This window comes from Homo sapiens, chromosome 4, assembly GCF_000001405.40.
Source record: "Homo sapiens chromosome 4, GRCh38.p14 Primary Assembly".
NCBI lineage: Eukaryota > Metazoa > Chordata > Mammalia > Primates > Hominidae > Homo > Homo sapiens.
The window spans coordinates 143,840,934-143,854,828 of NC_000004.12; the positions used below are offsets into that span (position 1 = coordinate 143,840,934).

General features: G+C 37.5%; 1 long non-coding RNA gene across 1 annotated transcript in view; it reads left to right on the forward strand.

The window, feature by feature from the left end:
• The first annotated feature begins 2,467 nt into the window (after positions 1–2,467).
• The window catches only part of LOC105377459 (uncharacterized), a 125,977-nt gene continuing 114,549 nt past the window's right edge, over positions 2,468–13,895 (forward strand). Inside the window, exons 1-5 of the long non-coding RNA XR_001741861.1 lie at positions 2,468–2,982; positions 5,153–5,244; positions 6,478–6,643; positions 7,320–7,447; positions 8,496–8,609. This is a non-coding gene — a long non-coding RNA (uncharacterized LOC105377459). The remainder of the gene's footprint in view (positions 2,983–5,152; positions 5,245–6,477; positions 6,644–7,319; positions 7,448–8,495; positions 8,610–13,895) is intronic.

Sequence of the window (13,895 nt, forward strand, 5' to 3'; positions counted from 1 at the left end):
CTAGTTGAACATTACATGGGTTCCAAACTTAGTGTCTTCCAGTGTGTGGCAGGTTACATCCATGTGTAGAACAAAGCCCGGGAGGGGGGCGACTGCATCAACACAGGGAGCATGCTCTTTCTGAAAAAACAAAAACAAAAATGAGAAAAAACGCTGCTAACTATTTTGTTGTCATGAGGAGTTGTGGGCCATTATTCATGGAACTTCTGATATTTCAAGAGAAGTAAAAATATTTTATATGAAGTCTACTGTTTACAAAATATTGTCAATTAATTGATATTAAACAAATACCGTGCAGGCCAAACCAAACTAGCCCTCGGACCAGAAATGCTCTATGGGTTTATAGCTTCAACACTGGAACATCTCTCAATATGATCAGTTGTGGATTATATACTTTCACCCTTTTAAGCACTTATTTTAAGGGTTTAGTGGGGGTCAAGTAGAATATGGTTATTGCTTAACTCAGTTTACTACTGCTACCTAAAACCATGGTTGATATTTAACTGGCTTTCACTGTTACATTGCGTTACCAAGTATTCATTCTGATTGATTGGTACCATGTGGTCAAAGGGGTTAAAGTTTTTGAACATTATTTCTGCCCCAAATTAATAAACAACACTTCTTACTAGCATGATTTAGATATGGGTTTACCTGTACATTGGGAGTTTTTTCCAAGTGTGTTTATTCCAAGCATTGTGGAATTTCTCAGTTCCTTATAAGACTACCTTACAGACGTAGTTTATAATATTTTCAATAATAATTTGTCAGACTGTATTCTCACTCATTCAATTTTGGGATATTATTTGATGACTCCTCCCCAGAAGCCTCTTTTAATGACTAGTCTGACTGACATTTGGTGAAAAAGCAGTAGTTTTCCTTCATCTGTATTCTTCAGAGAATCATGGAATAGTAGCTGTCCCTTCCATTTAGGTCTTGCTTTTGATAAATTAATTGATGAATTGTCTTCAGCTTAATATGAATATAATTAGTTCAATTGTCAATTATGTTAGACTTTTAAAAGAGTGTTCTGAATATGTGATCATATGACATACTATTTGTAACATGCTTTTTTTTCACCCCCAAATAACAATTTACAGGATCTCAATATTGAGGCCAGAAGAGATTACATAGAGATTATAGGCTCTGCCTGTAATCCCAGTGCTTTGGGAGCCAAGATGGGAGTATTGCTTGTAGCCAGAAGTTTGAGACAAAGCTGGGCAACATAGCAAGACCCCATCTCTACAAAAAATTAAAAAATTAGCTGAGTGTGGTGGTACATGTCTGTACTCCTAGCTACTTGGGAGCCTGAGGGGGAGGATCACTTGAACCCAGGAGTACAAGGTTACAGTGAATTATGATCATACCACTGCACTCCAGGCTGGGTGACAGAATGAGACTCCATTTCTAAAGTAAAAAAGTATATATATTGAAAAAATTGCTTGAAAACTTTGAGAGTAGAAATTATCTTTATAGTATCTAATCTATCCAGTCAAATGAGCTGGCAGTGGAAGGAGCACTGGACTTAGAGTCGGAAGGCATGGCCTTTTCTCTTTTGCCAATCAATGTGACATTTAGATTTTCATTATTATCATTATCATTATTATTATTAAGATTTAAAAAAAATTGTGGGCTAGAAATGTAACTTTCTTCGTGGCAGAATTTTATACTTATTTTTATTTCATATTTGCTCTTCCAACTAAGAAAGAAAAAAAGTACAGATCTCTGGAGCCTGTAGTGTTTGAAACTTATTAGCTGTGTTTCCTCTGGCTACAGAACTCAAAAAGGAGTTTTTCAAGTTGCATTCAGAAAAGCAGTCTGTTTTTCTGACCTGCAGTGTTGCTAGTAATTGTAAGCCAGGTGTTACTCTTGGAAAATGAAAGTACTCATTATTTTAAAATAGTATGGTGTGGAGGGCCAACTGTAAGACCTGGAGCTGTTTGCTGTTTACACACATGTGGACAACTTCTCTGGTCAAAAGTGATAAACAAATGAATCTTTCAGCCTCCATTCTTCAGCCTCTCAAATATATTTCTGAAGAGGGCATTGTTCCAGGGTTCTCTCTGAACAACTCCCACCCCTGAAGTTGGAAAGTCTTGACTATTTCAATGTCCTTCCCTTGCATCATATTGCCTGGGCAGCACGCCCTTACTGTTGTTGCTTTGTTAACTGTTAGATACTGAGTTATATTAACATGAAAGGACATAAGGAATCAGAAATGAAGCCTCCAACTAACAATATGACAAAGCTGATCGACCAATACATCTTTGATTTGGTTTTAAGAGGTTGCAGTGGAAGTGGATAGGAGGTGTGAAATTTCTGATTCCAACTTGAGTCTGATTCTAGCCCGTGCCTTGGGGATGTTTATAAACCTGAGAGGGAGGAAAACTGAGGGGGAAAGGAAGAGGGAGGAAAAGGTAGAGGAAGGGAAAGGAAGAGGGAGGAAAAGGTAGAGGAAGGGAAAGGAAGAGGGAGGAAAAGGTAGAGGAAGGGAAAGAAAGAGGAAGAGAGAAGAAGAGAAACAGGGAGAGAAGGAGAGTGCCTGATCCTGATCCATAGTATAATAGCCTCCCTAGCCTGATTACAGTTCTGCTTTTACACTTAACCACTGCTCTTTTGGGTACTGGGCTATTGAAGAACAATATTCCAAATTTTCTGAAAGTTCTTTCCAGCTGAGAGTATCTCTAGGCACTGGCTTAATTCTTTCAAAGTCTCATGACCACACCCTTGATTTTTATCTTTACCTTGAGGCCAAGTCTTAATGTGAAAATATTTATCTGGCATGAGACAGCAAAGATGAAAAACAACTTTAGTTTCTATTCTAATAAATTCTAGCATCTCTTAATTCCCCATATTCTCCTTGTAAACTGTGTGTGTGTTTTTGTCGACATTTGTTTCTTTCTTGTAGTACTTTATATACAACTAGTAAGAGTCAGCTGATATTTTCAACATTCTGCCTGGAGATCAAGTCCAAAAATTCATAAGGTACATTTTATATCTTCAAGTTATCTTAAGTGACCAGTTCTAACAGATGTTTCATGCCGACGTAGCATGGGTGATCATTTCTTCGATTTGCTCTAACAGTTGCCTCATCATTTTTCCAGGCTTTGTTAGTAGTATCATTGACACTTTTCCAGCTTCTGTTTGCTACCTACCTCATCCAAAGCTAATTCCACATATGTCTGTTTTATGCTATGGTAGCACGTTCCTTATAGGTACTAATTACCCATTGCCATAATAATGCTGCATAATAAACAACACAAAATGCCTCTTGAAACAATAAAAATTTATTTAGTGCATGAGTCTGTGGGCCAGCAACTTGGTTCTTCTGGTCTCACATGCATGGAGATGGGTTGCATATTAGCTGCTCTAGTATAACTCATCTGGGATGATTGAGATAACCTGGTTCTGTTTTACCTTTAGTAGGGTTAGTAGGTTAGTCCAGGTATGTGTCACAGCAAAGTCAGAGGATTAAGAGACTGTTAGTGTGAAAGATTTTTTCAAGCCTCTGCATGCATCTGCTCTTGTCCTGTTGGCCAAAGCATGTAAGATGGCCAAACTCAGAATCAAAGTGCAAAGAAGTACACTCCTCTATAGTGAGAGGAAATGCAAAGTCACATGGCAAAGGGCATAGATACAGGAAGAAGTTGAGAGTTGGGCCATTGCTGCCATCAGCCTGCCAAATTATCTCACCAGTATTTAATATGGGACAGTACCTCACCCATATTCTTTGGACTTCATTATTTCAGCATGCTCCAAGGAGACAGTGACTTCCAACTGGCAGTATTTGTATCCTCTTCCCAAGGGTTTCCTTCTACTAAATAAAGGACCAGTCTGCCCATGCAAACTCCAGGCTGGAGGTTCTAGGGAATTAGCCCTGTCTCCACTTGACATATTCAATTCAACCCTCAAACAATAAATGATAGGAGTTGGTTTATGAAAATGCCAGCTTTCTTATCCCTCTAGTTGAATAATTTGTAGGCGTATATTTTATACAATTTTCCAGAGCTCTAACGTATTAGGCACTGGCAGTGCACAATGGTAGCTGGCTTCATAATACAACTTTTATCCTTGGCCAGTTTCACTTATGTACTCTCCTAATGCTTAATTCTGTAAAAATAAATTGCTTACACTTGAAATCTTTTCTTTTTTCTTTTTCTTTTTTTTTTTTTTGAGATGGAGTTTCACTCTTGTTGCCCAGGCTGGAGTTCAATGGCACCATCTCGGCTCACCTCAACCTCCACCTCCCCAGTTCAAGCAATTCTTCTGTCTCAGCCTCCCAAGTAGCTGAGATTAAAGGCATGTGCCACCATGCCCAGCTAATTTTGTATTTTTAGTAGAGACGGGGTTTCTCCATGTTGGTCAGGCTGGTCTTGAACTCCCGACCTCAGGTGATCTCGCTCACCTCGGCCTCCCAAAGCGCTGGGATTACAGGCGTAAGCCACCACACCCGGCCATTGAAATCTTTTCGTATGGTTTGCTGGGAACCTAAATTAATAGACTACACAATTGAACTCTCATTTTTCTTCTGATTCTGAGTTCACGTTGCATATTTACACTATGCATAAAAACCAGTTCTCAGTATGTATCCCCTTCCTAATTTTCAGGAGTTTTAACACTAAGGTCTTTTCAGTGCTTATACTGTTTAGGTTCATTAGTAAGAGTGTGTCTTTTTCGGTTTTCTGTAGCTTATAACAGAATACCTGAAACTGGGTAATTTATAAAGGAGAGGAATTTATTTCTTACAGTTATGAAGGCTGAGAAACCCAAGGTCGAGGGGCCATATCTGGTGAGGGCCTTCTTGCTGGTGGGGACTCTGCAGAGTCCTGAGGTGGTACAGGGCATCACATGGTGAGGTGGCTGAGTGTGGTAGCTTAAGTCTCTCTTTCTCTTCTTATAAAGCCACAAGTCTCACTCCCATGAGAACCCATTAATCCATTAATAGATTCATACGTTCATGAGGGTAGAGCTGTTAGGACCCAATCACTTCTTAAAGGCCCTATTTCTCAATACTGCCACATTGGAGATTAAGTTTCAACATGAGTTTTGGAGGGGACAACCATTCAAAGCATAACAGAATCCTTTAATTGTCATAAGCTTTCCTAATTATTAGCTTTAGTATGATCTAAGTATCAATTTTACTTTTGTTTTCCAGCTTATAGAAGAATACGACATACAGAAAAATATATATTCTGCAAAGAAAACACAGTTATGTAGGGAACCTTTCCATCCCCAGTCTGGACCCAGGTAATGGGTCCTTGCTTAGAGGAATATTTCTTCCACTCATATCATCTTTCTTTTTTGTCCCATTTTTTTTTTGTTTGAATAAAACTCATTTGGACTTTTCCTTTCTTCCACCAATAAAGAAAGAATATTATTGACTTTTAATTATAATTTTAAAAACCCCATTTTTTTGTGTTTTAGAAACAGGGTCTTACTCTGTTGCCTAGTCTGGAGTGCAGTGGCACAACCACGGCTCACTGCAATCTAGAACTCCTGAGCTCAAGCGATCTTCCCACCTCAGCCCTCTGAGTAGCTGGGACTACAGGTACATCCCATCACACCCAGCTAATTATTTAGTTAAGAAATGGGTCTTGCTTTGTCGCCTGGGCTTGTCTTGAACTCCCGGGCTCAAGCAATCCTCCTACCTTAGCCTCCCAAAGTGCTGGGATTACAGACGTGAGTCCCTGTGCCTGGCCACAAAACATATTTTAAAATCTGTTTACATCTGCCTAGATTTCCAGTTGGTGTTGTAGTCCATTAACTCTTTATTCTGCTACATCCAAACTGCTATTAAATCCATATATCAAATTCTTAATTTTTGTTACTTTATTTTGCAGTTCTCAAATTTCTATATGATTATTAAGTCTATTCCTTTGATGAAACTCCCCATCTTACCCTCTATTTCCTAAATATTTTAAGCACTTATTTTAATTCTGTGTTGCTAATGACAATATCTGCATCATCTGTGAGTCTTTTCCCGTTGTCGATCTTTTTATGTTGTTCCTATTTGTTGTGTTATTGCTATATTTTGTATATCTGGTAGATTTTTGTTGAATGCCAGATACTGAATATAAAAAACCAGGGATGATGTGGATTGTGTTATAGCTTTCCTGAGAGAGTTTGCCCTGTCCTCTGGTTGGAAGCTATAGTGGAGGCAAATCACTTTAATCAAGTAAATGAGAAGACCAAATGCTGGGTTTCAGTCTTCTTAAGATTGGTTTCCTGGAGTGCTATAGCCCCTAAAGGTCTCGAATGAGAGTATGAAGTGTTCTCTGTTGCTCCTCTCCCTTAGTGAGTCATGGCCTCCAGTTTTGTCTTCTCAGCACTAAAAGATGTTTAAAAACTCTGATTTGATTTTCAACGGCTGTATGCTTGGCTTCCTAGCCTCTCACTCTAATCAGCTTACTTCAGAAAATGCTTTTATAGGAAAATGACCTTAGTATTATGCTTACTTTTTCACACCTCTCTTCTCTCCAGGCTTGTACTCATAAATCCTGGCTGCCTTCACAGCATCAACCTATAATTTTTTGTCCACCTCGACTTATGAATTATCAAGAGCTCTCTTAGATTATCTGCCTTTTAGCAGGGGCTGAGGATTATTAATATTCCAGCCTATATTTAGAATTGGCAAATGCCATTAAGGGTAAGTGACATTCAGAATTTGTCTCACCTTTCTACATTTCTCTTCTCTCTGGGATCTTGACACCTCAGATTCTTATCACTTTGGAAGCTCTCCCATGCCTTCAAACAAATGTTTTTTTTCTTTTTAAATTTTACTTTTCTTTTCTTACTGTTAATCGGTTAAATAGCCCCCTCTTGCATACCTCTTACATGTACATGTAGTTTCTTCTACTTACTCTTAGGTCAATTTTATTAAATCTGGAGGGAGATAGTAGATTATGAGGACCTAGGAAGGAGGGTATAATGGACAGATGCCTTGCTTGATCAGCCTCTATTTCTCCTTCTTCCTAATATTATTTATTATTATTATTTGGAAAGCCACTTCTGAGAAGTGGAAAGCCACTGTCAGTCCTTGTGTTTTTCGGTGGGATAAACCCAGTTTCTGGGGTCTAAGAATGGGAGGTGGGTGGGTAGGTGTGGCAGGCATGCTACTCAGGCTGGCCCATGACTATGTTCCATCTCTCCTATCGGAGGGCTTGAGTCCGGGAAAGATATGGGACCCTAGTCAGCCCAAAGAATGTCAGCACTGGACTTCTACAAAAGTTAGTGGGAAAGTGATATTGTTTCCACTGAGGTTTCTCAGCTGGTAGATTTAAGGCCAGAGCTGCTAATGGCCTTTTTTGCCTTTGTACGTGCAGGACCTGTGAGAGAAAGCCGGGGAAGCAGAACCCTTTGATGGAGACAACAGAGTCAGGACAATATTGTTTAAAACTCCTAAATCCAAACATGCCTGAAGCTATAAGTTACTTCTGAAATTTAAAAATTTGTAAGTAAATTATTTTTTTTCTCCCTAAGCCACTTATAGCTAAAATAGGCCTGACTATGTGGAGAGTACCAGTAGGTGTGAGGGAGGGGAGACAGATGAAGTGACATCTCAAGAGAACTCACTGATTTGATTGGCTGGATATAGAGCCTGTGGGAGAAAGAGGAGACAAAGATAAATGTGAAGTTATTTAAATGGTTTGTGATGCTTTTAACCCAAGGAAAGATATGATTGATGTAGAAACAACTTTTCCTTTTACATATCCAATCCACATATAAAAACATATTTAAATCATAAACTGTAAGGATGGTAAACTAGAAATTTGTAGCTGCTTCTCAGTAGCAAAGTTTTTTCTTTAATTATTGTTGGCTTAAAATTTTTGATAAGTTATATCTCTAAGGGTATACAAAGTAACTTGTTGAATTTGCAAAGTGCTTTGTGGATTTCAAATTACTTTGGAGTCTGTCATTTGACCCTCACAAGAACCATATAGTAGGTGGGAGAGTTAACATCGTCCCTTATTTACCAATGAGTGTACTGAGGTACAGAGAGGTTAACATAATTAACTAAGGAAACCGAGCAAATATCTTGGAGGGATGGTATGAGAACCCAAATTTGCCAGTCCAGTGCTTTACCATATATCATTCAGTTCTCCAATTCCTAGTAATTATAGTTACTTATAATCAATGATAAAATTATAGCCAGTGACCAAGTTACCCAGAAACATTCCAAAAATGGCATCAAATTTTCTTTTAAGCATTATAAAATATATTTAATCAAGTCAGAGCTATTCTAAAAGAATAATAATAACTAGAACGATCTTGGATGACTGGCTTAGCCAGAGTCCCCATGTAGATCTGAGTGCTCATTGTGGGTCATGGCCACTTTCTTATATCTCAAATATCCTCTGCAATTCTGGAAGGGGGAGAAGGTAAAAATAGGAGAGGATTCTGGCTCAAAGGGGGAGGGTTCTGTAAACTGGAAGTATGACTTTACATGGTGAAACATTTTCTTGCTAGTTATGTAATTCTGATATGCTTTTAACTTCCAGTTCCTAGGAAAGAAGTTGTTTCAACTCTCATTGGAGGAAGTATAAGGTGATCTCAGGGAAGGCGAGAAGGGCTGGTTGCCTGCCAAATCTATAATCAAGTCGGCTCCACAGTCAGTTGAGTAAACAGGAGTTATTATATATATGAGAAGTTTTGGCCAGGAAAAAGGTGTAAATAGGTTAAGTAAATTGACAAGGAACAACATATTGGGTCATTAGTCAAAACTCATCATGTGGTCTACATAACATAAACATCAACATAAATGCAACTCATCTTCCCAAATAGCTACACACTTAATTTTCAAGTGCTCACAAAATGGAGCTTGATTTCAATTAATACTAAATAGTTTTATGCCATTTCCAAATTTTCGTTTCTTTGTGGGAATGTAGGAAATGTTGAGACTAATGCAAAGACTTTCTGAACACAAGAAAAGGCTTTACTTTGTATAATTATCTGGTTTGATGTTCTGTTGCTAAGTGAAATAGTGTTTACATCATGTGTTTTCAGAACCAAAACTGTGTATTGAATTTCATCCAAATCATTTAGTTAAGTCTAAGTTTACAAAGGAAACTAATGATCTGGCTTTATTTCAATGTATTGATTCTGGATTCATGAGCGTGTGTCAAAACGCGATTACATACTCTCTAATTTCTGTACAAGCTCCCTACCCTAAGCTTACCCCTGCTAAGAAATCCTTGGTGTATTGATTCTTCATTTCATCTTAAACTAGTACTTAGGTAAAAATATGATTAGGGCCCTTTTTCTTCACTTGAGAAAAGAGGAGACAATAATTCATGTGATAAATCAATATTATTCCAAATAAAACCAAAAAGCAAATTCTAGAAAGGGCAAACCAATGTTAGATTTGGACAAGACTTTGTGGAACTTAGGATGATTGAGATCTGTCTAGTGTCTCAGGTGCCCTCTTCAATTTTGGCAGAGGCAAAGGTGGAAATGGGGAGAGGACTCTGGCTCAAGGTGGAGAGGGGCTTCCACAAATTGGCAAATGTCACTCTACATAGTTTTGAAAACAGAAAACGACCTTGCTTTATAAAATTCTGTGGTTTGATGTTCTGTTGCTTTGTGAAATGCTTTTTAGAATATATATTAGATACCTATATATAATTTTATATTATATGATAGGAAGAGGGGCAGAAAAATAATTGCTTTCTTATCACTAACTCTCTAACAAAATATTTCCTTTCTTACTTCACCTGAAATTGGGTGCTTAAGGGAGGGGATGGGAAGATGAGGCAGCTTGGAAAGGTCAGGCTGGGGGACAAGACGAGTAGGAAGAAGACAGATGGTGTTTTTCAGAATAGATGGCCTCTGATCAGAAGTAGAGGCATCATATTGACATTGCCAAAAAGATGGGCTCTCAAGCTCTCTCCTACTGTAGTTTTAAAAATAAAATATTCTTGTCTTATACAAATTAGAACATGTCCTAAAAATATGTTGGGTGCTCAGGTGCTGTACTCATAATGCTCACTAGTTAGCAACCTATCTGACACTTTATACCTTACTTGAAGGCCCCAATTAAATGCTAATAGAAGTTGCCTTTGATTTTGCTGCAGTTTTGTGTATTTCTTATTTTAATGGAATACTTCATATGTATGTTTTACTTCAAGTAGGAGGTAGGATGGTTGTCTCCAGAGGGTAGGGTGTGGGGGAGGGAGGGAATGGGGAGCTGTTGATCAAAGGGTACAAAGTTTCACATAAAGAGGAAGAACAGGTTTTTGAGATCTATTGAATAGCAGGGTGACTATAGCCAATAATAATGTATTTATGTCTCAAAATAACTAAGAACAAATTTGAAATATCTCACCATAAAAAATAATGGGTAATCAAGGGGTTGAATATGTTAGTTTGGTTTAATCATTCCACATTGTATTCATGTAGCAAAACATCACATTGTATCCCATAAATGTATATAATTGCAATTTGTCAATCAAAAATAATATTAATAATTTAAAATTTTTATTTCTTTGTCTTGACTTTATCCTTCTAAGTAGGAATTGTACGTATGTCATAGCTAATATTATTTTTTCTTAGTCTTAAAAATATGTCTACAGTTTATCTGTTAAGTATGATGTTTGTTATAAAGTTTTGGTAGTTAGCCTTTAACAATTTCTTTTTTCATAATTAGGCTTTTCATTTTTGTCCACTTTTTCTTGGGCCAATTCTGGTAATTTATATTGACAATTTAGTATTATATGTATAATCATGTAACATATGTTATATATGACAACTTAGAACTTCATATAAAACCAGTTATGTAACTTGTTTCAAATTCATTGTGTTCTTTTATGGATGAGGATATTTTGACTCTCACACACCCAAATACTGCTATATATCCTAGTTGCCTGTTTCTTTTAGGACACCTCTGCTAGTGGTGTACAGAACTTTCACTCTTTTGTGTTAGAGAATTATGCGCTTATTAATACATTTTGTATTTTTTTGTTTTTATTTTTTTCTTATTTCGATAGCTTTTGGGGTACAAGTGGTTTTTGGTTACATGGATGAAATACATAGTGGCGAATTCTGAAATTTTAGTGCACTCCTCACCCGAGTTGTGTACATTGTACCCAATATGTAGTTTTTTGTCCCTCACCCCTCTTCTACCCTCCCCCCTCTTCCACCCTCCCCCTTCTGAGTCTCCAAAGTCCATTATATCACTCTATTTGCCTTTGTGTACTTATAGCTTTGCTTCCACTTATAAGTGAGAACATACAGTGTTTGGTTTTTCATTCATGAGTTACTTCACCTAGAATAATGGCCTCCAGCTCCATCCAAGTTACTGCAGAAGGCATTATTTCATTCCTTTTACGGCTGAGTAGTATTCCATGGTGTGTATATACTACATTTTCTTTATCCACTCATTGATTGATGGACACTTAGATTGGTTCTATATCTTTGCAATTGTGAATTGGGTTGCAATAGACATATGTGTTCATGTGTCTTTTTCATATCATGATTTCTTTTCCTTTGGGAAGATACCCAGTAGTGGGATTTCTGGATCAAATGGTTAGATCTACTTTCAGTTCTTTAAGGAATCTCCATACCGTTTTCCATAGATGTTGTACTAATTTACATTCCCACCAGCAGTGTATAAACATTCCACTTTCACCAGATCCAGGTCAACATCTATTGTTTTCTGTTGTACTAATTTACATTCCCACCAGCAGTGTATAAACATTCCACTTTCACCAGATCCAGGTCAACATCTATTGTTTTCTGGCTTTTTAATTATGGCAATTCTTGCAAAGAGTAAGGTGGTATCTTTTCCTTTGGGTAGATGCCCAGTAGTAGAATTGCTGGATTGAAGGATAGATCTACTTTTAGTTTTTAAGAAATCTCCGTACTGTTTTCCATAGAGGTTGTAATTCTTCTTTTCTGATTTGGATGCCCCTTATTTATTTCTCTGGACTGATGGCTCTGGCCAGAACTTCCAGTCCTGTGTTGAATAGAAGGGGTGAAAGTGGGCTTCCTGGTCTTGTTTCAGTTCTCAGGGGAAACGCTTTCAACTTTTCCCCATTTAGTATGATGTTGCCTGTGGGTTTGTCATATATAGCTTTTATTAACTGGAGGTAAGTACCTTCTATACCTAGTTTGTTGAGGTTTTTATCATAAAGCGATGCTAAATTTTATCGAATGCTTTTTCTACATCTATTGAGATGATCACATGGTTTTGTTTTTAATTCTGGTTATGTAGTGTATCACATTTATTGATTTGCATACATTAGACCATCCCTGCATCCCTGGGGTGAAACCCGCTTGATCGTGGTGTATTTTTTGATGTGCTGCTGTATTTGATTAGCAAATACTTTGTTGAGGATTTTTGCATGTATGTTCATTGGGGATATTGGTCTGTAGTTTTCTTTTTTTGTTATGTCCTTTCCTGGTTTGGGGATTAGGGTGATACTGGCTTCATTCTCTTATTTCTGTGTGACTGGTATGCAGAGATAAAGGTTTCACCATTTGTACAAATTTGCAGTTTTAATGCGAAATATGTTTTTTAGCTATTTGATTTTTTCTTTCTTAATAAATTGAATGAGTATACACACACCTATTTTGATGCTGTGTGCATTTAAAACCTCATGTACTTTGTCATTCTAGCTTTATATTGCAGACTCCCTTACTGTATTGTCTGGACTTACTTCTGCCCACCACCTTGCTTACTCTATAGGCTGGAGGGGTGAATGCCAGGGATGAGGTAAAATTTTGGTCATATATATGACTGATTTTTTACAAAGATGAAATTAAAATTATTTCTTTAGGGCCATGTAATATCACCCAAATCATGTTGTTCAAAGAGTACAAACTTTCACTTACAAGATGAGTAAGTTCTGGGAATCTAATATGCAGCATGATGACAATAGTTAATAATACTGTACAGATGTTCCTTGACTTACAATGGAGTTATGTTCCAACAGACTCAACGTAAGCTGAAAATATTGTAACTCAGTGATGTCCCATCTTTTGGCTTCCCTGAGCCATGCTGGAAGGATTGTCTTGGGTCACACATAAAATACACTAGCACTAATGAAAGCTGATGAGCTAAAAAAAAAAATGACAAAAAAATCTCATAATGTTTTAAGAAAATTTACAAATTTGTGTTGGACCTCATTCAAAGTCATACTGGGCTGCATGTTGCCCATGGGCCATGGTTTTGACAAGCTTGTTGTAACTTACAAATGTATTTAATACACCTAGGCTACAGAATATCATAGGTTAGCCTAGCCTACTTTAAATAAGCTCAGAACGCTTATATTGGTGTACTTGGGCAAAATCACCTAACACAAAGCCTATTTAGTAATAAAGTGCTGAATATCTCATGTAATTTATTGAATACTGTACTGAAAGTGAAAAACAGAATGGTTATATGAGTACTTAAAATGCAGTTTCTACTGACTGACTTTTACACAATCTTAAAATTGAAAAATTTTAAGTAGAGAACTCTCTGTATTGTATCCTTGAAATCTGCTAAAAGAGCAGGCCTTAAAAGTTCTCACTACACACCCAGGTAACTATGTGAAGTGATGGAGGTGTTGACTAACTTGATATCACTTCAGAATATTTACATATATCAAAGCATTGTAACTCAATTGCAGATTCAGTCACTCGATGCTTGCCGAGTCCAGTTTACAAGAGTGAGGTCTGATATAAAGAAAGTGACTTTTTAATCCAAAGCTTAGCTTGTGGAAAGAAGTCCAGGCTCTTGCCTTTAAAGGCACTGCTTCACTTTTGGGGCAGAAAGCCAGAGCTTTTAAAGGGGAACTTGGCGTGAATGGCAGGCAGGGAAGGAGCAGTTGGGGGTCTAGGCGACTTGCTTTGTTGCCTTATCTACCCAGTGGTTGAGCTAGTGCTAGATTGTAAGGTGGCTGTGGTCTGGAGATACTCTC